Source organism: Homo sapiens, chromosome 9, assembly GCF_000001405.40.
Source record: "Homo sapiens chromosome 9, GRCh38.p14 Primary Assembly".
Taxonomy (NCBI): domain Eukaryota; kingdom Metazoa; phylum Chordata; class Mammalia; order Primates; family Hominidae; genus Homo; species Homo sapiens.
The window spans coordinates 117,997,071-118,024,758 of record NC_000009.12 but is presented as its reverse complement, the minus strand read 5'-3'; the positions used below and the strand labels follow the sequence as shown (position 1 = coordinate 118,024,758).

Here is a 27,688-nt window from a genome sequence, read left to right as displayed (position 1 = left end):
TGAATAAATTAATGAACGAACAAATCTATCTTTACCTCTTTGCTGGACCATACCAAAATTTATTCCTTCTACAAATTCCCAAATGTTATGAATTGGCAAAATCTACCCTATTTTATTGTTCTTTCTTAATTGTTTGATACTTGGCCATTGTTCTTTTTTTTTTTTTTGAGACGGTGTCTCGCTCTGTTGCCCAGGCTGGAATGCAGTGGCGCGATCTCCGCTCACTGCAAGCTCCGCCTCCCGGGTTCACGCCATTCTCCTGCCTCAGCCTTCGAGTAGCTGGGACTACAGGCGCCCGCCACCACGCCCGGCTAATTTTTTGTATTTTTAGTAGAAACGGGGTTTCACCATGTTAACCAGGATGGTCTCTATCTCCTGACCTCGTGATCCGCCCGCCTCCGCCTCCCAAAGTGCTGGGATCGCAGGCGTGAGCCGCCGCGCCCGGCCTTGGCCATTGTTCTTTCAGGCAGTATTTTAGCTGTCCTTCGGCGCAGTTGAAGATTCTGTAACTGGGCGTTTGCCATTCAAAATAGGTAGAGTTGCACATTCAAGAGGGAAACAGTCCTGAGGCATTCTCACAGATAAAGGTAAGTCAAATGTTTAGGAAGCACTTTAACTTGAGCTTCTGGAAGGTAATCTCTAAGAATGCCATGCCTAAAAAGAGTTTCTTTCTTTGCATGGTGGCTGTGGGTTACACTAAATGGTCTAACAATACGATTTAGGGTGAGGCCTGGCCAGAATTTAGGGCTGGGGCTAGTCATGCCAGGAAAACCAATAATGTTACCTGAGGTGAGGGCTTTGGATCATGCACTATCAGTCAACCTGTAGACTGAGATCAACCACATGGGCAATCAATCAGTCAATCCTATCTACATCATGCAGTCCCAGTCAAAATTCTGAACAAGGAGCCTTAGTGAGCTTCCGTTTTTGGCAGTCCTCCAAGCATATTGTCATACAACATTGGCAGGAAGGTAACACATCCTGACTTCTCAGGGAAAGAGTAACAGAAGTTCCACCAGGGAAATAAAGTGGAGTCAGATTTATAGAAGATGTTAAGGTATGAATAAAGAAGTATGTCAGTTTTGTGCGTTCTGTGATAACCTAAAACACAGAGGAAGAAATTTCAGTGAAGGAGTTCAAATCAGAATGCAAAACAGTAACTAAAAGTTCTGAAACATTGAGCAACTTGGGGGAGTGTCACACAATACAAAAATTAAGCTCTAATAATCTGCAAGAGTCCTTTAATTCTGTTGTTATAAAGATGATACTGTATAGGACTTGTAAGGAATTCCATGTTCTCATCTCTGGCTACTACTCTACTTCTCTCAAAGTTTTTATCATAGTATCATATACTACAACTTGAATGATTTGGTCTTATTTTGTACTTTCTTAAATATGCCATAGTCTGTGTTTATGTTGTTCCTTGTGCTTTGAATGCTTTTCCACACTCTCTTTGTCTGACTAACTCATGGTTATAACTTAGGAAACACTGCCTCCAGAAAACCTTAATTGTCTCCATGTTTGGCTGAGATATTCCTTTCTGTGGTCCACAAACTTGATATTCTTGCTCTTTCATAACACTTATGCCCTGGTATTGTATGTGTCTGCATAAACTCTCTACCTGGCTAGATTAAATGCTGACTAATTAATGGCAGGAAATGTGCTCACTTTAGTCATCACTGAATTCTGCACATCCAGAACACTTCTTTTATATATGTAATGAATAAATGTGCACTATTTGTTAAATAGCTGAATAAATACATTTTATAAATACTGCTTTTGGCTTATTCATTTTTATTTTATTTTTTTAGGAACAGGGTCTTGCGTTGTTGCCCAGGATGGCCTTGAACTCCTGGGCTCAAGCAATCCTTGAGTAGCTGGGATTACAGGTCTGCACCGCTGTGCCCTATTTATTTTTAACAAGGGGCATTATATGCCACTTAACTATCTGATATTTCCATCATAAATTATGATTGACATTTCTCTGTTTATTTTAAGCTGGGAATAAGCTTAACTCTCAAGAAAGATTCTCTGGAGATTATGGCTCTTTTATTGTATGGACTGATCTTAAATCAGTACCTTAGTGTGGTATAGCAAAAGAAGTTCTGGACTGAAAGGGAGGTGACTGGATTTCATAAGAAATCTAGCAACAAATTCTGTAACTTAATGACTATAGTATAAGACTGCTTTTTCTACCAAGTGGACATCAAGTAGACTGTAAATATTAGCAATCTCTCCAGCAATCCCTGAGATCAGAGAATCTCTATCTCAGAAGAGTAGAAAAGCTTATTTGCTAGCCAAATGAAGAGTAGTCTCCTGTCTTATCTATTACCAATGTTGCCTGGACTGAATTTGTTACAGTGACTTTTTTTTTTTTCAGTTTCTTTTTCCCTTTCTCAATGAGGAAGACATTTGTGGATTCTTTCTTTTTTCTCTCTCTCTCATTTTGCCTTTCTCTCTTCCTTCCTGCATGCCCCAACTCTCAGGATCTCTAGTGCATTATTAACTGGGACTTGTTCAATTAAAGGGGACGTGGACCTTCATATTTCGTGGTTCCTCAACAACGATCAGGCTGGCAGGCCCAGGAGGAACTGCAGTCCCTGAGACACTGGCTGCATGAGCTAACAGGAAAAGATGAGCAATAAAAAGAGATTATGAGAGAAATCAATAGGTTCATACTGGCCCCATATGTCCACAAACATCTTTTTGCTGCTGGAGAATCACTTCTGAGATTGTAGCCATCATTACTGCAGTATTTATTTCTCTCTCTCTGACCCATCAAATACCTGCCTAGAATCAGGAGTCTATTTGGTTCTGGCGTTTTAAGCTCTCTTAGTTCTCTATAGGTCAGGTTTTTGGTCTTTTCTCTTATTTCCTAACTACAAGCCAGAGACTACAGTTTGTTTAACTGGCTGACCACAGGCCTGAAATATTGTGCAAGAAACTGTGGAATTCACAGGGAACTAGGGATTGGTCGTAGTGACTTTATTCTAATTCTGAGCTTCAAAGATTCTGTGGCTAAATGAACATTTTATCTAAGATGAAAAACTTGCTGTTGGTTTCATAAAAACATATTTATTCAACAAATATTTATTGGGCATGGTGTGTCTGGTATTAATTTATGTTTTTGGCTTCATTGATTACATCTAACTATTTTGTAAATTTTAGAAAGGTTCTGCCTGGTGATTTAGAAAGGTTCTGCCTGGTACCACACTCCTGATAGCAGACATAGTCTCTGAGCCTCCACATTCTGTAGTCATTTATCGTGATGTTTCCCAAGGTGTGGTGCAAAACCATCTGTCTCAGACAAGCTGCTAGAGTGTAGTAGTTATGAATATGACTCTAGAGCTGAATTGCACCTCAGCCACTTACCATCTATGAGACATTGGGCAAAGCACTTAATCATTTAAAATCATGTCTTGTGGAGTAAGTCCTGAATGATGAGCAACTATCAGAATTATCCAGCAATTCTATCAAAATGCATATCTAGAGATGTTTTAGTGGTGGACTGACTGTCTGCAGCAAGATGATCTTTATTTATTGAAACTTGCGGAAGCACTGAATTTTATACTTTCCCCTTAAATTTTCTCATTTTTTCTTCCCCCCACTTCTATCAATGACTGGGTTCAAATCTGATCCTTTCATTTTTCATGATGTATAATTTAGGCAAGTTTCTTGAACTCTCTGATACTCAATTTTTTTCACATGTAAAAAGAAAGACAATATTTTCAATGTTTCTGGTGATGATGAATGAGGCGAGGATTAAATACCCAATAGAATGGAAGAATACCCAATAAAATGAAATACCCAATAAAATGAGAATACCCAATAAAATGAAAGTCATCATTTGTTACCATGTAACAAGCATTGCCTTATGGTGTTTAGCTATCTCAGCCACTTTGTAAGGTAGGTAGGTATCATCATGCCCATTTTACAGATGAGGAAACAGGTTCAAAATGGCTAAACCATTTGCACACAGTCTCAGTCTCACAGATAGTAAATGGCAGATCCAGGATTTGAAAGCACAACTATTTTCGAATGTGGATATTTTATCAATAAAGTGTCTTCTACTTTTCTTATCGTTTTGTAAAGTTTCACCTCCACTTGAGAACCATGCAGGTAATGTCTTCTCAGGAGAGGATTTTCTGAAATCAGGCAGCAGATAGAGAATTATCAATATTTATACTCTTCATCAGTGTGTTATATATTAATGACAAATGTTTTTACAACAGTACAGGCAATTTTAGCAAAAAATAAAAAATACTAAACCCCTAACAATAAAAGTTGCTGGAGTAGAAAGCACTGTATATCCGTATAGCTCATTATATATCTTTGCTAACCGAGTGTTTCAGGTCACCTTATGGGGTTAAGGAAGCCCCACTGTCCTTGCATTAATTAATTAATTTTTTTCTCAATCTTATTTCTTACACTCTATTTTGTTGCTATTCAAGAGGTATCTATAAACTAGTTGTAAGTAGTGAAGAAGACAGTAAAGTTCCCTGACATACGGCACTTAATTTTAATGGGGGAACATAGATAAAAATTACTATATAATGAGCTATATGGGTACATAGTACTTTCTACTCCAGCAACTTTTGTTGTTAGGGGTTTAGTCTGATATTTTTGCTAAAATTGCCTGCAATATATATATAAATATATATATATATATATTTATATATATATTTTATTATACCTTAAGTTCTAGGGTACCTATGCACAACGTGCAGGTTTGTTACATATGTATACATGTGCCATGTTGGTGTGCTGCACCCAGTAACTCATCATTTACATTAGGTATATCTTCTAATACTATCCCTCCCCACTCCCACCACCCCACAACAGGCCCCGGTGTGTGATGTTCCCTTTCCTGCGTCCAAGTGTTCTCATTGTTCAATTCCCACCTTTGAGTGAGAACATGCGGTGTTTGGTTTTTTGTCCTTGCGATAGTTTGCTCAGAATGATGGTTTCCAGCTTCATCCATGTCCCTACAAAGGACAAGAACTCATCATTTTCTTATGGCTGCATAGTATTCCATGGTGTATATGTGCCACATTTTCTTAATCCAGTATATCATTGTTGGACATTTGGGTTGGTTCCAAGTCTTTGCTATTGTGAGTAGTGCCACAATAAACATGCGTGTGCATGTGTCTTTATAGCAGCATGATTTATAATCCTTTGGGTATATACCCAGTAATGGGATGGCTGGGTCAAATGGTATTTCTAGTTCTAGATCATTGAGGAATAGCCACACTGTCTTCCACAATGGTTGAACTAGTTTACAGTTCCACCAACAGTGTAAAATCATGAGTGAACTCCCATTCACAATTGCTACAAAGATAATAAAATACCTGGGAATCCAACTTACAAGGGATGTGAAGGACCTCTTCAAGGAGAACTACAAACCACTGCTCAGTGAAATAAAAGAGGATACAAACAAATGGAAGAACATTCCATGCTCATGGATAGGAAGAATCAATATCGTGAAAATGGCCATACTGCCCAAGGTAATTTATAGATTCAATGCCATCCCCATCAAGCTACCAATGACTTTCTTCACAGAATTGGAAAAAACTACTTTAAAGTTCATATGGAAACAAAAAAGAGCCTGCATTGTGAAGACAATCCTAAGCCAAAAGAACAAAGCTGGAGGCATCACGCTATCTGACTTCAAACTATACTACAAGGCTGCAGTAACCACAACAGCATGGTACTGGTACCAAAACAGAGATATAGACCAATGGAACAGAACAGAGCCCTCAGAAAAGTATCACACATTTACAACTATCTGATCTTTGACAAACCTGACAAAAACAAGAAATTGGGAAAGGATTCCCTATTTAATAAATGGTGCTGGGAAAACTGGCTAGCCAAATGTAGAAAGCTGAAACTGGATCCCTTCCTCATACCTTGTACAAAAATTAATTCAAGATGGATTAAAGACTTAAATGTTAGACCTAAAACCATAAAAACCCTAGAAGAAAACCTAGGCAATACCATTCAGGACATAGGCATGGGCAAGGACTTCATGTCTAAAACACCAAAAGCAATGGCAACAAAAGCCAAAATTGACAAATGGGATCTAATTAAACTAAAGAGCTTCTGCACAGCAAAAGAAACTACCATCAGAGTGAACAGGCAACCTACAGAATGGGAGAAAATTTTTGCAATCTACTCATCTGACAAAGGGCTAATATCCAGAATCTACAAAGAACTCAAACAAATTTACAAGAAAAAAACAATCCCATCAACACGTGGGCAAAGGATATGAACAGACACTCCTCAAAAGAAGACATTTATGCAGCCAAAAGACACATGAAAAAAATGCCTGCAATATTTTAAAACCATTGGTCATAAATATAAAACATACTGATGAAGAGCAATATGATGGAATAGGACTTTCCACTGTTCCCTCTTCAGAAACATCAATTTGAACAACAATCAACACACAAAAGTACCTTCACAAGAGCAAAGGAAACCAGGTGAGTGATTTTAGCACCTGGGCATAGCACAGAAATCAGAAAAGGTGCATTAAAGAGAGTAGGACGGGCAGTTTTATATCAACTGAGTCACCCCTTTGAAAATTCCAGGCAGTACATCGTGTAAAGAGACACTCTTCAACTTGGGGAAGGAGAAGAAAGTGAGCTTTGGACTTTTCCTTTGGCCCCAACATTGGATCTGCACCAATAAAACCCAACACTGAGCAGGCTACCACAACCACAAAATTCAAGGTAGTACCTATGGACTGAGTATCCAGGCCTGCCCTGGCACCAGTCTGGACCCTACTGCTCCAGGTTCCAGGCCTGCTCATTGGATTCAGTCTCCAGGCCTGCCTCACCATCAGGCCAACCCCAGCGGCCCTGGGCTCTGGACCAGCTACAGCACAGGGCTAGTCCCATCACAAGGTAAGCCCTGCCAGATTCAGGCTCTAGGCCTGCCCCACAGACTCGGTCTCTGGGCTGGCCCCAGCAACCCTGGGCTCAGGCCTGCCCCAGCACCATGCTAGTTTCTGCATCCCTAGTCATCATGCTAGCACTCACAGATCCACTCATCAGGATGGACCCTGTGCATGCAGAATTCAGGTTTGCCCAGTAGCTGGTCAGCCTCTATGACCCCAGGCTCCAGACCTGCCCCAGGTTTCAGAAAAGCCCAGAGCTAGGCACACACACAGCCCCAGGCTCAGGCCCACCCTGGCACTAAGTTAGCAATCCTTGCCTCAGGCACTAGGATAGAACCCACTGGCTCAGGCTTTAGGCCTGCCAAATACAAGGTTGGTTCCTGGCTCCATTCTCCAGGCCAGATACCGGAGCCACATGCTCCAGCAGACCTAGAGTTCAGACCTGCCCAGGGTCCAGGCTTATCTCAATAGATCCTAGCACCAGGTGAGACTCCTGAACCTTGGCTCCAGGACTGACCCTCAGCACCCAGCATCTAGGCCAGCCCCCAAAACCCCAGGACCCAGGCCAGCCCTCATGTTCCTAGCCTTCTGGTCAGCATCATCACACCCAGCTTCCAGGCAAGCCCCCATAGCCCTTGGCTCCAGGCAAGTTTCTGTGGCTCCAAGCATAATGTCAGCACCTGCCATCCCAGGCTACAGTCTAGCCCCTGTGGGTGCAGGCTTCATGTCTTCCCTAGCACCAGGCCATCCCCAGGTTGCCGTCAGGTCCCAGTGGCCCAAAGTTCCAGTGGACCCAGGGGCCAGGCCTGATCCAAAAAATACAGGGCCTAGGCTTACCTCAGGCGACCTTAGTGACTGGCCAACCCCTGTGGACTAAGACTCTAAGAACAACCCTGCAGACTTAGGCTCCAGGCCCATCCCAGTAGACCTAGGCTCTAGGCTTATCACAGCACCCGGCTAGCTCCTTCAGACTCAGGCTCAAGGGATATTCCAGTATCAGGTTAGCCTCTGTGGATTCATGCTTCAGTAGAGACCCCATGGATCTAATCAAAAGGTCTAGCACTACTTATCCAGCTTTCAGGTCCAACTCTGCAAATCCCAGGCACCAGGCCCACTCATCTGCTGACCCTGACACCAGACCAGCTTGCCTAGAAACTTCAGAAGCAAACCCATTCATGAACCGTGCCAGATGGACTGTTAGAATCTCTCTGGACAGGCTCACTGTTGAAAGTTTTTCTGAAACAAAGCCAGTCTGCAATGTTTGGAATAAGTCCATACTTCTTTAAATACACAGAAACCAACACATGGCCACAAGAATCAAGAATGATCAGGAAAACATGACACCAACAAAGGAATAATGCACCAGTAACCAACCATAAATAAGTGGAGATTTACAAATTGCCTGACAAAAAATTAAAATAATTGTTTTAAGGAAGCTCAGTAAACTTCAAGAAAACATAGAGAAAAAAATTCAATGAAATCAGAAAAACAATAAATGACCAAAACAAAAAATAAATACCAGAGATATTGAAATTATTTTTAAAAAATCAAACAGAAATTCTGGAGCTAAATATACCATGAAGAAAATTTAAAATGCAATAGAGAGCATCAACAGCAGAATTGATTGAGCAGAAAAAATAATTTGAGAACTTGAAGACAGGTTATTTGAATATGTACAATCGGAGGAGAAAAGATCTAAATGAATAAAAAAGAATGGATAAATATTATGGGACTTTTGGGAAAGCATGAGAAGGGCAAGGCTTTTTGATTTATAGAAATTAATGAAGGAGAAGAGAGAAACAGTGATATTTAAAGAAAGAATAGAAGAAAACTTTCTAAATTGGGAGAAAGATATAAATATTCAGGTATGTAAAGGTTAAAGATATCTAATTAGATCCAATCCAAACAGGACTACACCAAGTCATGTGATAATCAAACTGTGAAAATTAATGATAAAGATGGAATTCTGAAAGCCACAAAGGAAAAGAAGAATATCACATATATGAGAATTACAGAACCACTAGAAACAAACCTCTCAGCAGAAATCTTACAGGCCAGGAGAGATTGGGTTGATATATGCAAAGTGCTGGAGAAAAAAACAAATCATCAATCAAGATTATTTTACCCACAGAATTTGTCCTTCAGAGAAGGAGAGATATAGACTTTCCAACACAAACAAAAGTGAGGGAGTTCATCACCACCAGAAAGACCTGTCTCACAAGAAATACTAAAGGCAGTCCTTAAAGATGAAGGAAACATATGCTAGGTAGCAACAGAGAAACGAAAAGTATAAAATTCATTGATGAAAGTATGTACACAGTCAAATTCAGAATGCTTTAATATTGAAATAGTGGTATATAAATCACTTAAATCTTTATTATGAAGGTTAAAAGAAAAAACTGCTAAAAATAATAATAGTTACAATAATTTCTTAAGGAATATGCTATTCAAAGAGATGTAAGTCATGGCATCAAAAACACAAAATGTGAGGAGATGTTGAGTTTTTTTTAATGAGATCAAAGTTAGTTGTTATCAGCTCAGAATATCCTATTATGACCATAAGATGTCTTATGTAACTCATAAAGAAAAAAATAGTAGATACCAAAATAATAAAAAGAACCAAGTATACATTAGAAAAAAATCACCTAATTACCAAGAAAGGCAGAAAGAGAAGAAGAAAGGAATATATAATCTACAAAACTACCAGAAAGCAATTAACAAAATGGCAGTAGTCATTACCTAACAATAATTACCTTAAGTATAAATGATTTTTTTTTAATCAAAAGATACAGAATGACTAAAAGTATAAAAACGAGACCTGCCTATATGCTGCTTACAAAAGCCTCACTTTACCTGTAAGGACACACATAGACTGAAAGTGAAGGAATGGAAAAAATATTCCATGCAGATGGAAATCAAAAGAGAGCAATGACAGCTACGTTTACATCAGATAAAATAGACTTGGGTGAAGAGTAAGACAGACTGAAATATAATAATACCAGGGACTTCAGTACTCCACTTTGGGCATGGACAGGTTATCCAGACAGAAATCAATAATGAAACTTTGGATTTAAACTACACTAAACCAAATGGACCTAACAGACACATACAGAATATTCCACACAAAAAAGCAGAATATACATTCTTCTCAAGAGCACACAGAACTTCTCTAGGATAGATTATATGTTAGGCCACAGAAAAGTTTTAACAAATTTAAGAAGATTGAAATCATGTCAAGTGTCTTTTCTGACCACAATGGTATAAAGCTAGAAATCAGTGACAGAAGAAATCTTGGAAGACTCACAAATATGTGGGAATTGAGACAAACAAAAATGGACAAACAACATAACAAAATTTAAGGGATGCAACAAAAGGAGTTCTAAGAGGAACATTTATAACATAAATGCGTACATCAAAATAGAGAAAAGATTTTAAGTAAGCAACCTAATATTATACTTTAAGAGAGTAGAGAAAGAAGAACAAACTAACCCCAACATTAGTAGAAGAAAGAAAATAATTAGTATCAGAGTAGATGTAGGCAAAATAGAGACTAGAAAAAAAAATAAAAATGATCAACAAAACTAAGAGTTTTATTTAAGATTAACAAAATTTACAAACCTTTCACTAGACTAAGAAAATAAAGAGAAGATGAAAATAAATAAAATCAGAAAGAAAGAGGAGACATTACAACTGATACCACAGCAATAAAAGGCATCAGAAGACATTACTATGAGCAATTATATATCAATGAGTTGGATAACCTCGAAGAAAAGAATAAATTCCTAGATACATGCAGTCTGTCAAGACAGAATTATGAAGAAATAGAAAATCTGAACAGACCAATAACAAGGAAGAAGAAAAAGTCAATAGTAAAGTCTTTCATCAAAAATAAAAAGGCTCAGGAAATGACAGCTTCACTGCTGAATTTTACCAAACACTCAAAAAACAACTAACAACAATTATTCTCACAGTCTGAAAAAAATGAAGAAAAGGAAATACTTCCAAACTCATTTTATGAGGCCAGCATTTCACTGATACTAAAGCCAGACAAAAACACTGCCAGAAAAGAAAATTACAGGCCAATATTCCTGATAAGCATAGATGCAAAAATTTGCAATAAAATATTAGCAAACCAAATTCAACAACACATTAAAAGGATCTTTCTAATAGAATACTTTATATGCCTTTGGGAATACTCTGCAGCCATAAACAAGAATGAGATCATGTCCTTTGCAGGGACATGGATGGAGCTGGAGGCTATTATCCTTACCAAACTAATGCAGGAACAGAAAACCAAATACCACATGTTCTCAGTTATAAATAGGAGCTAAATGATGAGAACACATGGATACATAGAGGGAAACAACACACACTGGGGCTTCCAGAGGGTGGAGAGTGGGAGGAGGGAAAGAATCAGGAAAAATAACTAATGTGTACTAGGTTTAGTATCTGGGTGACTAAATAATCTGTACAATGAACCCCAACAACACAAGGTTGCCTATGCAACAAACCTGCACTTGTACCCCTAAACTTAAAATAAAAGTTAAAAGATAAATAAAATGATGCTTCACCATGATAAAGTGGGATTTATCCCAGAAATGCAAGATGGCTCAACATACACAAATCTGTAAATGTAATATACCACATTAATAGAATGAAGGACAAAAAACATACAATCATCCTAATAGATGCAGAAAAAGCATTTGACAAAATTCAACATCATTTCATAATAAAAACTCTCAATAAACTAGGTGTAGAGGGAATGTACATGAAATAATGCTTAACGTCACTAATCCTAAGCGAAATGCAAACCAAAACCATAATGTGCTACTATCTCACACTTGTTTGAAAAACTTTTTTCAAAAACTCAAAAGATAACAAGGGTTGGCAAGGAAGTGGAGAAAAGGGAAGACTTGTACACTATTAGTATAGCCATTATGGAAAACAGTATAAAAATTCCTCAGAAACTAAAAAATAGAACCACCACATGATCCAGTAATCCCTCTCTTGAGTATAAATTCAAAGGATATGAAATCAGTTTGTCTAAGAAATATATCTGCACTTCCATGGTTATTGTACCATTATTTGCAATAGCCAAGATGTGGGATCAATCTAAGTGTCCATCAATGGATGAATGGATAAAGAACATGTGTCATATGTACTTAAAGGGATTCCTTTTTGCCTTTTTTTAAAAAAAAAAAAAAGAAAGAAAACCTGCTATTTGCAACAACATGGATAAACCTGGAGGACCTTAAGTTAAGTGAAATAAGCCAGGCACAAATAGAGAAGTGTCACAGCATCTCACTTACATATGGAATCTAAAATAGTTGGACCCACAGAAGCAAAGAGTAGAATAGTGAATACCAGGAGCTGGGGAGATGTTGGTCAAAAATTACAAAATTTTGGTTAGATAGGAAGAATCTACAGATCTCTCTATTCAAGAGCTCTGTTGTACAACATGGTGACTATAGTTAATAGGAATGTACTATATTCTTGAAAATTACTAAGAGTAGATTTTACATGTTCTCACCGCAAAAGAAAAAAAAATGATATGTGAGCCAGTTCATATGCTAGGTAACTTGATTTGGCCATTCTGCAGTGTATACATACTTCAAAATATGATGTTGTACAAAAAAAAGTGTACATAATTTTTGTTAATTAAAAAATAAATTTTTAAAAATTACTAAGATAACTCAAAATTATAATTGATTTTTATAAATGTCATACATGATACAAATAAGATATTATCTAAGGGTAAAGAATATATTTGAAAGAATAAGAGAAGAAACTAAAAAACATTTCACTTGAAAACAAAAAGATTGTGTTCAGAGATAGTGCATCCACTTGTAACTGCTAAGCTGTTCATGGTGGCACACGTAATACTCTAAGTAATTTTACTGTCTTTATGGGCTCTTGATGTGTACTCATGTTCTTAGACTTCATATTAAGAATATTTCATCTCAAGCAATATTGGCATCTTTGAAAACATAATGCTTTCCAATACCAATGTCCAGGATGGTCAAAGTAGGTAATTTTCTCTGATGTAAACGTTTACTATGATGTTGACATCTTTATTGTTTTCTTACAAAAAGTTATAAAAATTTTCTGTCCATAATATTTGTCATAGAAATAACCTTAGAATACTCTTTTTGAGAAGATTCCATACTGTTCTCATCCCTGCTACACTTAATTGATCAGAGTCGGGCACCTGTTCCCCAAGACAGCCCAGGCACAATCTGGTCAGCAACCCATGAAATGATCTTGTATAAACCATAAGCTGGACCAGTTAGATCTCTTTCTCTAACATATTTGGATCAGCTAACATTAGAGAATTATGTTGATAGCTTTGGGGAAGAAAAAATGGAAGTGTTCATAGAGACTATGAGGTAGAGTGAGGAGGGCTTTGAAAAACAATCTGAGAAAGTCATGTGATGAGATTTTAATGCAATAAATAAGCAAATGTTATGAGAAAAGAGAGAAATGACAATGAAGCTAGTCTTTAGTGAGCTAACTAACAAAAAGGAAAGAGAAGTGGAGACCCAGAGAGTACCTGAATGACCTTAATTTTGAAAAATTCCAGTAGATACCTACCAGTGTCTGCTGCCAGAGACTTTAGAACTTTGCATTGGTTTTCATTTTCAAGAGGCTGAATGAGCATTTGAGTGGCATGTCATAAGAGAATTAAAAAATGGAGTTGAGACTAGACTATATAAACTCATAGGTGTTTCTTAATTATGAGAGTCTAAATTTAAGATCCCAAATCATCGACACCCACACAATTTACTGTCTACATTAAACATCACTTTAGTAATCCATTGCTTTCATCTGCATGACTTTACAATTCTAAGAAACTGTTGCCTAGGAAAATAAATTTTGAAAATGATTTTCTTGTTCATTCCAGGATCTTCACAAGAAGATCACTTAAATAAACACCAACTAGTTAAATGCCTCTATAGCATCAAATGATAGCTTGCCCCAAAAGATTCTTCCAACTAAAGTATTCACCAATTCTAAACAATTATATCTGAATTCTTACCCAGTCCTAATCAAACCACTTCATTGAAAGACCCCTAAATTTTGTAAATATTCTAATTTTATCTTTCTCCAAAAATTTACTGAGTCTGCCCAGATGATATATTCCCTTACTATAAGAATCTATTCAGCTTTTCCTTATCAGCAGGTTGTTTTTTCTTTTAATATCATATGGTAGTTTATGTAAGACCAACTTGAGAAAAAAAAAAATCCCCTAGTAGCTTCCAGAATCCGAAAGCCTTATGCTTTTGTGCGTTTACATCATACACTTTAAGACTTTGTCAAATGACCTGCCTTAATCAGGATTTTTAATCCTTCCTCCCACCCAATCGCATTTATTCTCTTGCCACAGTTCTTAGGCATGGCATTCCTCTCACTCATCTTTTAAAATGGAGAGTTTTTTGCTCCCATTTCGTGTGCTATAGTCTCTGAATTGTCCTGGGCTACGTAGTCTCTTTTTTATCTCTGTAAATCTATCTCTATTTTATTTTCTCACCAAAGTGCGAATACTTGAATCTGTAATAGATCAAGCCTTTGTTGAAATCCCTTTCAAATTATATTAACATTAGGCTGAGGTACATAGAAAAGATGATGTGATTTTTCTATCTCTGTATGCGTGTGTGATTGCGTATGTGTATGTATGCAATTTCAAAAGAGAAAAACAGATAAACACACAAAATGTCTAAGAACATCAACCCTTTCATCAAATAGCAACCAAATTAAAAAGGAAACCAAAGATAAATTCAGGTCCATATTTCAGAAGTGAATGAGGACCTCTTTATTTCCAATGCAATAGAAATGCAAAGCGGAAGAAATCAATGCAAACCAGTATGTCTTGGATCAGCACATTTTAAAACAAAATGTACCTTTGTATCTAAAAATCTGAGAGCCATGAATATTTAACACAGAGAGAAAAGAATGATTTTGTCAGCCTGTAAAGCAAGTCCCAGGGAAGCTTAAATTCTGCTGCCTTCTATTAGCTTCTCAGCTCAGTAAACAAAATGAGTCATTCAGGGAGAAGGAGAGGAAGGAGGTAAGGACCAGGGGAGGCTGAGTGAGAGGGTACTTCTGAGGCTTGGGAAGTAGTGAACTCAGGAATGGTAGTGGAGGGGAGAGAATGATGAGGTTTAATGCCAGCTAGTGGTCATGAGCTCTCTGGCTGGGTATAGAGCAGCTGGAGATAGTCTGTGGAAAGAATTATTAAAAATCCTACCAGTTTTTGGAACCAAAGGAAGCAGGGAGTGGCTATTGTAGTAAAGGGATCTAAGGGACTGATTTGGCTATTCCAGGATGCATGTCTTGTCCAACTAATCTCTCCAAGGCTCTCTCTCCTAATCTCTTAAAGGGTAGTAATACCAGCTCTTTGCTTTAGAAGAATATCTTAGGGATAAATGAAGCGCATTAGCCAAAATCCATGCTAAATATTTGATGGTTGTATCTGAAGCCACACAAGGGAATATTTGATCAGCTTGCTATCTTCATGGGGGACAATTCTTAATGTGGCATAATTCAAAACTTTTATTACAGCCCAACCCCTATCATTATGACTCAGATAATGTTCCCAGGAGTTTGCCTAATACTCAGAAAACAACATCCTGCAGGCTAATGATGTATTGATTCTTTGGCTATGAGGTCTGCATGAAAGGAAAACGGTGATGAGTGGGCTGGGATGGTATACATGGGTGTGTAGTTGCATTAAACAATACTAATCAACAAGTTTGGCTGCTCCTTCAGTCTTTCCTCCCCCTGCCCCCCCAATATTCTGTTAGGCTTCAAACTGGCATTTTATCCCCTTGTTTTTTAACAAATGACTTTTGCAAGAGGCAGCATAGTGTTGTGTGAAATGGACTCTGGACTGTGAATCAAAAACCTTCATTCTCATCCTAACTCTGCAATAAACACCACTCATGAATTTGAGCAAGCCACTTCCAATTCTTTATTTTTAGAGTGTCAGTTTCCCGATCTGTAGGAAAAACAAATACATTCTACAGTTTTTTGTTTGATAGACGGAGAAGGGAGGAGACTTTCATTCTAGATAACACACATTACTCCCTGTTTATGTTTCTGCCCCAGCCACTCTCTGCTTAGAGCCTATGTTTCAGGGCTATAAGCCTTAAATATAAGCTATAAGCCTTGCTGGAGGCTGTCACAGCCTGAACTAACCATTAACTAATTAAGGGGAGCAAATCAAGTTGTCAAAAATCTGTAAAACTAATAAGTCTTTGTAAATCGTTTTTTTTTTTAATTTAAGTGGGTACACCGCAATCCCATCACTTCAAGGCCAGCGTGCTTAGCGCAAGGTATCAGCAGACAACCCTTGAAAAGAAGATTTCTCATTAAATACACTAGCCCTGAGGCCATCACTTCACTCAAAGCTTGTCCTTGGTACCTTAATTTTGGAGAAAAATGCAGATTTTCAGAGGATGTAAGAAAAAGGCATCCAGCCTGTCTCCTAGGAGTCTCTTGAGCCCTCAGGCAATCAGTCTAGAAGCAAAAGTGTTTTTATACAAAGGGACACTTGACACCTATCAATTATCTTCCTAAGCTGACTAATTCTTCTTTATGGCTTCTTGGTGCTCAAATCAGAGCAGAGGTGCCATCTCTATGAAGGTTGACTTTGTATCAGCTGAAATATGGGAGCCACCATGGAATCATAGAATAATGGATGTTCAGGGCTTGTCGTATTAGAGATGGAGACGATTGGCACAGGAGCATCTAACTGGGATCATTTCTTCAAGTAAGGCATTCTTAGCCTAGGGATGTGAATAGAATCATTCTGCAAATAGGTACAGGGTTTCTGTGCTGAGCTCACGCTTGCATTTGAGGACAGAGGACAAAGAATTGAAAAGAAAGGGTCTCTTCCACTCTAATACCTGAGCACCTAAGTGGAGATATAAAGATGCACGCAATGTTTTACCATCACTGGTTCATAAAACTGAAATTGTATTTACGTCTCTCGTTATGTGAGGTAATGCAGGAAAACATTACAAAAGATGTGATATCTGAGCTGAGGCTTGTAGGGTGAGTAGGGTAAGGGTAAGCAAGCAGAGAGAAGGCCATGCCAGGCAGGGGGAACATTATACATAATGGCAAGAAGATCTGTAAAATAATTGTTTGTTTGTTTATTTGTTTGAAAGCAGTTTGGTGTGAAGAGGTGTTCCTGAGATACTTGTCTTCCCAACACATACATGCAAGATTTGATGCTACAGTTGAAGGGAGACATTATCAAATATTGAGCAGGTGCACAGATTGATTGGATACAAATAGTAGAATTGCCATTCTGGAGGTTGTAGGGAGACTATCGAAACACATGCCAGGTCATGGGAGACACTGTCCATAGGAGATGAATGAGGACATCATTTTGACAGTGTAGGGGAACAGGTGAGACCCTGAAGCAGGATAGCAGCAGTTGGAATAAGTGTCATGTAAGAGTTATTTAGATGGTGGAATTAGAACAGAAGTTTGCAATCGATGTGGTGGCATGGATAAGGAAGAAAAATAAGGCATTTTATTTGTGTTTAGGTTGTTATTAAAACTTCCTCACTCAAAGTAATTTTCCCATTTTTTAACAAGTAAATTTGATTCCAATATATGTTTTAACCCAGTTAGTACGACCACAGTGCACTGTATTTTCAAGTTAGCAAAAATTGACAGCAGAAAGCTTTTTTCTTAGTTTTACTAATCAATATCCATTGAATTTCACTGGACATTCTAAACACAGTATATGTATTTGGGAAGAAAATGGTAAAAAGCCCAGGACTCTCACCCTTCCAAACCTATGTGTGGAAACTGTTAGCCTGTATGACCCAATTCGCCTGTGAGATGACTCCATTAACATGGAAATGCCAGCTTTGGAAATTGTGTTTTCAGAGTTCACAATATAGCTCAGAAAGTGGCCAAAATGGATGTTGTAGTGTCCATTTTGACTGGGTAGAGCTCTCATGGGTTTCTTTGCATTTTTTTAATGTGCACTAAAGAGCCAAAGTTGCTGAGCAGATAATGCAAAGATACAAACATGTTCTTGTGCAGAGGATAAAGAAAAGATCTGGAAGTCAAAATGTATCATATATAGTGAGATAACATTATTAATGAATTATTTGTCCATTCCTTAATTAGATAAATATTTGTGGAGTTTCAAACATTGTAAACTGTACAGTGGGTATAATGATAGAATCAACAGATTTTAGATGTGAGTTTCAATATTCAATGATGAGTCTTGTAATTGGAGTTAAGAAGTGTCATGGGAGTGGATATCAGATGTTCCTAACCATGAATTAAGTTCTGTATTGAGCTCAGGCAGGAAATAAATAACAACAGTTCATTTTTCAATCAACATTGTGTACTTATCTGTGCTTCAAATATTGAGCTGGGTTTGTGGTGAATTTAAAATAAATCAGACACTTATCTTCTTCTCTAGGTATTTGTACAACAGCCGTGGTAAGGTATGGAAACAAGTAACTTTGAAATTATTAAATCCATGATAAGCACCTTTGACAAAGGAAGTGTCACAGGACTTAGGCAGAAAGAGAAGTTGATTCCAATTAGGTGATCTATCAAGAAAAGCTTAAATATCCAGGTAAACATCTATAAAAACAAAATACATTTGGAAACATAGTAATAAAGAAATTAGACTTATCGGGACTTGCTCTAAGAAGGTTAGCCAGTTGGTATCCAAGTTGAAGGAAGATATATTACAAAGGAGGTAATATCTGAGCTGAAGCTTGAAGGATGAGTAGGATTTATTAGGATAAACAAGCAGAGGGAAGGCCATGCCAGGCAGGGGAAACATCGTATGCAATGGCAAGAAGATCTGTAAAATAATGGTTTGCTTGTTTTTTTGTTTAAAAGCAGTTCAGTGTGAAAAGGCACTGCTGAGATATTGCTATTACTGACACTGAGACTGAGGCACTTCTATTCATTCAGACTCAAAGCATGTGACCTCAACTCTGTTCCTACAACCACGATCTTACGTCAGGCCCTTCTCATCCCCTCTTGGACAGCAAACTACTTTCCTTGCCATCTCCTCTCTAGAACCCAGTCCTGCTCACTGAGAAGTCAACTAGCTCTTTAGGAAACAGGCTTCCATGTTCATTTCCTGGCTTAGTATCTCTAACAATTTCCTCAACTAAAGAAAGTGCAATAATCCGTTTTCACTTATTTCCTCTATCAGCATTCCATTTTGCTCTTACAACCATGGTGCAACTATCCAAAATTGTTTCTTTATTTTTCTCAGAATTATTCTTTTATAACAACAATTTATATTTTGTATATGTTGACCCCTCTGCCTGGAATTGGTTCCTCTCTCTGTGGACTGAAAAAAATCCTATCTACCTTTGGCAAGACTTGGCTTAATTGTCCCCCTTTTCTGCAATGGAGTCTCTGAGTCCCAGGTTCCCCTAGATTCCTGTCTCTATTACAATACTTATTTTATTGTTTTGGAATTTTCTCATTATAAACCCCTGTTGAACTATATGTGTTGGAAAGGGAAGCCATAATGGTATTTTGTATAAATTTTAAATAATCTTTTAATCTGAGTTATTTAATTTTTGATATTCTAATATTCTGTCTATTATTTATAAAATGATATATAAATTTTCAGTGTCTCCAGTGGTAACCTTGCTATAATGGGCACTTGACAAATGAAGACTCAATTACTCAAGAGAGGAAGGTGTCGTGGTAGGCTGGAACCAGCATCATTGCCCAGTTCCATTATATATTCTCTGTAACTTTGCACAACTTTCTTGACTTGTTCAAGGTTTAAGTTTATTATCTGTAAAATCAGGATAATAATACTTAGCTCATTGTGAGAATTAAGTAAAATAATGATTGTAGAGCATTTGGCTCAATTCCTAGCATATAGTAAGCTCATAATAAATTATTTATATTAAAACTATTGCTATTAATGAATGTTTTAACCTGAGCAAAGATCAACCTCTAAAACTTTATTTTCTACCGTCTTGCCCTCCATAGAAGACTTTAGTGATTATCAAAGAAAATATTACAGGTTAGAGTACTTTAAAAATTACAACAAATCATATAATTGTTAATAGTGATTTTTAAGCTTCTCGGAACCTTAGGTCACTTGGAAAGGATGAGGATGTGGCTTGTAAATTCTCTGTGACTAAAATGGAAACTGTTTATAAGAACAGAGAATGTTGTTATAGTTGATTCTGAGTTACCCAAGGTTAAGAATTGGAAGTGAGATTAATAGAGTCAAAAGCTTTCTCTTAATCATGGATCACATAATAAGTCAGTTATTACATCTTTTTTCATGTCCCAGAAACTGCCTAACATAGGTAGAATTATTAGCCACAATTCTCCATCAAAGTACACGTTTGTACCATCATAATTAGTCTGGCCTGAAGTGATAGGACGATTAAGGAGTGTTTCTGTCAAGATATTGTCATTTAAGATTTAAAAGCAACCAGTTCTTAATATCTTGCCTGGGTCATTTTAAATTGTCAATTATACTGAGTAGACAGTGAAGCACTTATTTTTCTTTATCAATAATTATCTGGGACTCTCAAATGTTTAGTCATAATACTAATTGTTAAAGTATGAAACCATAAATATCAACTCAAAAGCTAGATGTTGGTATTTTGTGTAAATTTTGTGTAAATGCCAATATCTAGCTTTTGAGATCCCAAGAGACCCATATCAGTTGGGGAAATAATGGGCACTTTTTCCACGAATGTTTTTCTGACCACTGTGGTATATATCATTTCTCTCTATTTCTATTAAACCTACAGTACATTCCACTCGGTTTCTCTTTTAATTGAATGCCTTGCAATACAATTGAAACTGCTCTAGGTGTATTCAACTGGATAATTTGCTAGCCAAAACAACCTAAAAATTACAAGCCCTAGAATCTGTGAAATGAGAATAATAATAATGCCTTGGCTATTCCCCCAAAAGCTTATGTTGTTCAAATGATATATTGGGTGTGAAAATAGTTTCCAAAATGAAAATAATTATTTAGTTATTACCTAATGGTTTGTATTTCACATTCTAAAACATCTTTAACCTCTCTTATTCTCTAGATTCTCTCTAAACATTTTCTCTCTTTCAACAGCCTTAATTTCCATTTAGGGGTGACAGGTTTGAGATCCATACTTGTGTCTCATCTCTCTTCATGAGCTGGACACCCATACATCATGCTGGATAATCTAAAATTTATCAAATTTAACATTTCCAGATGTTAACTCATCACCTTCTCTCCTTTCCTGTCTTATTTTCTTTTTCCCTACCTCAGTGAGTGGTACTCCCAACCACTTGTTACTGTAGCCATGAACCGGGTGTTCTTGATTTTTCCTTCATTGTTACGTCACACTTCAACCACTCACTAAATGTGGTCAAACACCCCACAAACTGACTTCCCCTTCAGTCCTGGATCAGTATTACAGCCTCCTAATCCGCTTCTCTAACTCCTGACATGGCCTGCTCTAGCATGCTATCCACACTGCCACAGATAAACCTTTATAAATGAAACAGGAACCTCCACCTGCTTAAATCCTGAAACATAATAGCCATTGTTCCCAGGACAATCTGTAAACTCAAGCATGGTTTACAAACTCTTGAGAGCAGTTCCTGCCAAATGTAATGTGCATGCACATCACTTGGGCATCTTGTTAAAATATAGCTTCTGATTCATTGGGCCTGGGGTGCAGGCCCAGGACTAGGGTAAGCTAAGTGAGACATCCCCAGATGAAAAATTTAAAGAGATACTCACTGTCAGGGCAGTACTAGTGCCAATCCTATGCTTGCATGAATCTAAGAGGGCGTGTCTCCTTAAATGATGTGCCTTAAGTTTCTCACTTGCTGACCTTCCAGGTGATGCTGATGCTGCTTGTTCTAGGACCACATTTGAATATCAAATCTGGAAGGGTCAAAACTTATCTGCCTATCTTTATATCTTAGGATTTCTCACCTCAAACTCTACCCTCTACCTATACTAAATAATATATATTATTATTTTTTTCATTTCTGGGCACATGCTGTTTTTTCTTACTGAAATGATTGGCACCCCTAACTTTCATTGCCTCTGTGACATCTATGTGTCCTTAAACACCACTTTCTCCAGGCTGCCTTTTTTGACTTAGAGAGCCAATGGATTCAAAGGTACCTATCTATTCTCTATTTCTGTAGCTCTACTTACCTATTTTTCTTCATCATTTGTCTGTTGATAGCATACTATCCTCTTTAGTTGTATATGTCTGCAGGCTACATTTGTGGATTTAAAAACATGAGTTTATTATTTCAGATCAAGCAACAAGTACATTTCCTCACATAGAGTAGATATTGAATATATATTTGAGAAATAAATGAAAGAATATTTGAACATTAAATTTTCATTTGTGCTACCTTCTTAAATCTACTTTAAAATCCTTTAGCAATGCCTTCTACTTTTCCAGTAATGCTCACTTTACCTTACAGTGCAGTGTTTGTACTCAATAAATATGATTTCATATCAATAAACACAGACAATAATTTGTCTTTATTGAAGTCATTTACTGAATAATTGTTAATCATGAACCTGCGAGGTGCTATGAATTCAGTGGTGAACTACAGTAAAGTCCCTGCTTTCAAATTTAGGGTGAAGGCATTTTTAAGCATTAAACAAATATGTGTATGTGTTTGTGTGTGTGTGTGTGTGTGTGTGTGTGTGAGAGAGAGAGAGATATTGCTACACAAGTAGCAAGACAAACATATATATACATACATTATATACATACATGTATATAACATGTGTTTATACACAAAAGTATGTATATATGTGTTTATCTTGCTACTTGTGTGACGATTAGTAAACTACTTTATCTCAAGTCTCTTACTCTCATTCTGCAAAGTGATCATAGCATTGCCTAACTCTTCAAGCCACTGTGTGAATAAATGAACTTAACTCTTAACTCACTTGGGTCACAGCTCTTACTGCTGGTTGGATCTAAGAGTGCTGCAGAAGGCAGTTCTATATGCTTTTTTCTACTCTCTAGGACATACCCCCTCCATATGACTAAGGCATTTTGCCACTTTAGCATGGATGAGTGCCTTTGGATTCAATGCTCTGGAGACAGCTCAGGAAAGAAGGGAGCCATGTAAGAGACTAAGAGGAGCAGACACAAATTCATGAGCAGCACCAGGTCATGGGAAAGGTGGGCACCCCTTCACAGTCTAATGCATATGGACAGGGGTGTGATGCAGGGGCAATTGGGATCTGTCTTCAGTGTTAATTAACCTTTCTCACCCTTACATGGCACCAGACAGTAGCAGTTCTCTTACTCCCAAGAAAGGGACATAATTAGAACAGATGGAGAAAATACAGATGAAAAGAAATGGAGCAGGTGTTCAACTCCAGGAATAGCTCGTGTCCATTGATTGCATTCGGTAGAGGTAGGTTGTGTTTTTGGTTTTGGTTTTATTTTCCTTTTAATCTAGCTGTTTCTCTCATGCCACTGAATGAAGCCAGATGTTAAGGAGAGGTAGAAAAGAAAAATGGAGAGGCTATCTATAATGAAAACTGCTCTTAGTTATCTGTATTTCCAGCCTCACAGCTTTTGGAATATAGAGAATATTTTAAATATGTGTACACATAACTTTTCCCTGCAAGACTATAAAGTCCAGAAACCAAACAGGGACATCAAGAGGCCATAGATTCCTTCAATGATGAACAAGAAGAGGCTTTAGACTCATCCAAAATATTCTATAAATTGAACTCTTAATTTTGGAGAGATTAAAAAAATAGCCTCAACCGCATAACTGGTCAATTAAAAAGCTAGAGCTAGAACCCAACTGTACATTTATTTATTACACCACCATGATTTAGTTACTCCCATCAGAACTATACTTCAATTGTGATTAAGGAAGGGTCAATGGTGGGGGCCTATAGCAAGTGTCAATAATGTTGGCAATTTAACTCAAATCACATTGACTACATATTGAAGAAAAAGCTGTATCAAATTCAGTCTTCATGTTGGCCAGCCTAGCCGAGGATTTTGGGTAGCCAAAGCACTCTGAGGAATGACTCATCCAGAGAGATGGTTAGGCAGAAGTCCTCTGGGTGCAATTAAACACTTAAATAATCTTTTCTCAGGGAGAGTTCCTGATGATGCGTATGACCACAGTCTCTGCAACTATCTTCACAGTTACGAAAGTCCAAAGGCTTCTATTTTTTTTGAAAATTTCTTTTCTAAAAAGCAACCCCCACAAAAAATTAAATACCTTATCTGCCTTGCTATGCTTACTTCTAGTATACATTGGGTTTCTATGTAAGAGACCCTATGAGTCTATGGATATTTTGATGGACATCTATAGTGTTATTTTCTAAGGAATCTATTCTAGTAGAATGTGTCTCTATTCTACAGAACAAGAGAAGAGGGTGCCATGTTCTGCTTTTTCTACTCCACTGGTCAAAGTTATTGGTAGTCAAGAGTGGGCACTTGACCCATGTCAGGCCAAAGTTCTTCTCAAGGTTGTTTTTAACTCAGAGATTGAGTCTTTCTTCTATGATAGAAACTGTAAGATACAGTCTGGATATCTGTGTCCTTATTTTCTGTTACGTAGAGAGCATTATCCTAAAATGCAGAAAGAATCAGGAATTAGAGGTGAAGATATTCCTGGTGGAATTTACATCACTGGCCCTATTGCATTTGATGCTCATTTGTATCTTTTCCCTTTTAACAGTTTTATTACTTAAACTCTCTAGGATTCTGGAAGGTATTTTTTTTTTTAAGTTAGTTGGTATGTTTCTTCTCTTCTTTATCCAAAGGAAGCCTGCACAAGCTAGAAATCAGAATTAAAAAAATACTTTCAGTGGGCCGGGTGCTGTGGCTCACGCCTGTAATCCCAGCACTTTGGGAGGCCGAGGCGGGCAGATCACGAGGTCAGGAGATCGAGACCATCCTGGCTAACACGGTGAAACCCCGTCTCTACTAAAAATACGAAAAATTATCCGGGTGTGGTGGGGGGCGCCTGTAGTCCCAGCTACTCAGGAGGCTGAAGCAGGAGAATGGCGTGAACCCGGGAGGCGGAGGTTGCAGTGAGCCGAGATCGAGCCACTGTACTCCAGCCTGGGCAACAGAGTGAGACTCTGTCTCAAAAAAAAAAAAAAAAATTCAGTAGTTACAATTACATGCCAGTTTATTTAAAACCATACACAATTGTATGTACAATTTTGCCTATATCTCTGAGAGGCTGATTTTATTATCCCACTTTACAAAAGTAGAAGAAAGCTCAGAGCTCAGAGAAATTGTCTATTCCAAGGCTGTCCCTCCAGGTAATAGCAAATCTGCGATGCAATCTAAGTGTCTTTCTCTTTTCACTGAAGTATACCCAGTCCCTACTCAGGGAGCATAAGGTTCATTGAAGGTCCAGAAACAAAATTAATCAAATATAGAAAAGTCCAAAATTAAGAAAGCAAGTTGGCACACATAGATTGCAATTAATCAAGGAGTTTCTTGATGAAACATTCAAATGATATTCTAAAACATGATAAAATAATATTTCCATCCATGAGATCAACATGAGCAACATAAAAGTGTGTAAAAATGCAAAATGTGGCAAAAATATAGTATTCATAGAGAAATATAGTGGGAAGGAGACCAAAAAATATTTAGGAACCAAGTTACTGGAATTCTTAAAATTGTCTAAGCAATTTAGACTATTTAATTAGCACTGTCAACACAATGGAAGATTGAGAAGAGAAGCAAGTTCTTCACAATGTGAAGGTTGGATTAAAGATGGAAGTGAAACCACAGTGGTAGTAAGATATTGTAATGATCCTAGTTCTTCCAGAACTTTCATTTTATGAGTCAGAATGGAAGGGTATGCTTTATGTCCAGACTTGGAGCTCCACTTACATACTCATGCTCTCGTAATTTTCGCTATTTGATCACGAGTGGCATATCCCTTATTCTTGAACCATTCACCTTATTTTAAGTCGGAGTCTGAAGCCACATCTCTAATATTGACTACTCACAGGTCCTCGTGGTTCAACAAGAATGATATCCAGATTGTGCTTCAGAAGTGCTTTGGGTCCACCACCTACTGCATTTGTGTCACAATCCCATTTTCTGCTAAATAGGGTAAGTTCTTCCCATTCTTCCCATTCCTTTACAGTCTTACTTATGTGACATAGTTTTTATTTTTATTTTTTTCTTGCATTGCTCTAGAGGGATAGATAAGAAGTATTCCACTCAAAATAGGTTTAGTTTAGAAACATGGCCTTTGCAAATTTGGATTGTTTCATTATGCCTGCTTTCTCAAATGTTACACATGTAGAATAATTTTGCTTCTTTTTTTTTTAGTAAAATTGGAGAACAGTTGAAAACACCATTTACCTAAATTCCAGGCATTCAAAGTAATGGGAAAATTTGAGAGAACAACAGTGTATGAAAATCCTGATTTCCTTACCAAAAAGCTTCTTCTACCTTTGGAGCTGACTTAGCCATTTTCCTCTGCTTCTATGGTTTCATATGAACCCCTGGTTTTTACTACAGTTCTTTTTATATATTCAACAGCCCAATTGGACAGCATGCCCATTAAAGGCAGGTGCTGTGTTTTATTGAATTAGACCTCTTTATGGAAGGGTGGCCTAGGACATAATGATTTTTAATCTCTGGGAACTCCTGGGTATGAGAGCCAACTGCCATATGTGTACTGTTAGCTCACCTCTGGCCATAGCAGTTTTATCCTGGAGTGAAAAGCTGACTTGATTGGAACAGTCAGATTCTCTCTTCTGGAAAGTTGCAATCTCAAAAGGAGAGACAGATGATCCATATTGATTGTAGTATCATAGAGAGAAAATTGTTCTCTTTTCCTCTAGGTCTCCTGAACTTCCCTGCTCTCCACTTTTTCCGAGTCTTAGTCATTCAACTGTTTGGACTTAATGAGATACTCATATTATTTCAAAATCTCCACTTTTTAAAGTTAATCTGTGTTGACTTCTGATGCCTTACATAAAATAATCATATGTAATTTTGATCATTATCTTATTCATAACACAGGTCTCAGAATTTTACCCATTGTGAGTATTCAAGACAAACTAAATAAATGATCTCAAAAGCATTTGCACCAATATCGGCTTTTCATTTAGGGCTTAACCATTAGAATAGAAAGTCAAATAAGTGCTGGTTATCCAGGGACTCCAAAGGCTGAGGAAGAAGGATCACTTGAGCCCAGGGTTTAGAGGCTACAGTGAGCCAGGATTGTGCCACTGCACTGCACCTAGGCAACATAGCAAGACTCCAACTCAAAAAAAAAAAAAAAAAGAGAGACAGATGGGGTGCTATGGCTCATGCCTGTAATTTCAGCATTTTGGGAGGCCGAGGAGGGTGGATCGCATGGTCAAGAGATCTAGACCACCCTGGCCAACATGGTGAAACCCTGTCTCTACTAAAAATAGAAAAATTAGCTGAGTGTGATGGCAGGTGTCTGTAGTCCCCACTATTCAGGAGGCTGAGGCAGGAGAATCACTTGAACCTGGGAGGTGGAGGTTGCAGTGAGCTGAGATGGCACCACTGCATTCCAGCCTGGTGACAGAGCAAGACTCCGTCTCAAAAAAGAGGAGGAGGAGGAGGAGGAGGAAGGAGGAGGAGGAGGAAGGAGGAGGAAGGAGGAGGAGGAGGAGAAAGAAGGAAGAAAGGCTGAATGTGAAGAAAAAGAAGAGGGAGAAGAAGAAGAGGAAGAAGAAGAAGAAGAAGAGGAAAAGAGGAAGGAGGAAGGAGGAAGGAAGAAGGAAGAAGAAGAGCTGAATGTTAGCTCTGACTC

At 37.8% G+C, this 27,688-nt stretch overlaps 1 long non-coding RNA gene across 1 annotated transcript; it reads left to right on the top strand.

Moving 5' to 3' along the window:
* Positions 1-405: 405 nt before the first annotated feature.
* LOC105376246 (uncharacterized) lies at positions 406-27,111 on the top strand. The gene is made up of 3 exons (XR_930291.1): positions 406-587; positions 25,901-26,004; positions 26,926-27,111. It is a non-coding gene; the product is annotated as an uncharacterized LOC105376246 (long non-coding RNA).
* Positions 27,112-27,688: the final 577 nt, after the last annotated feature.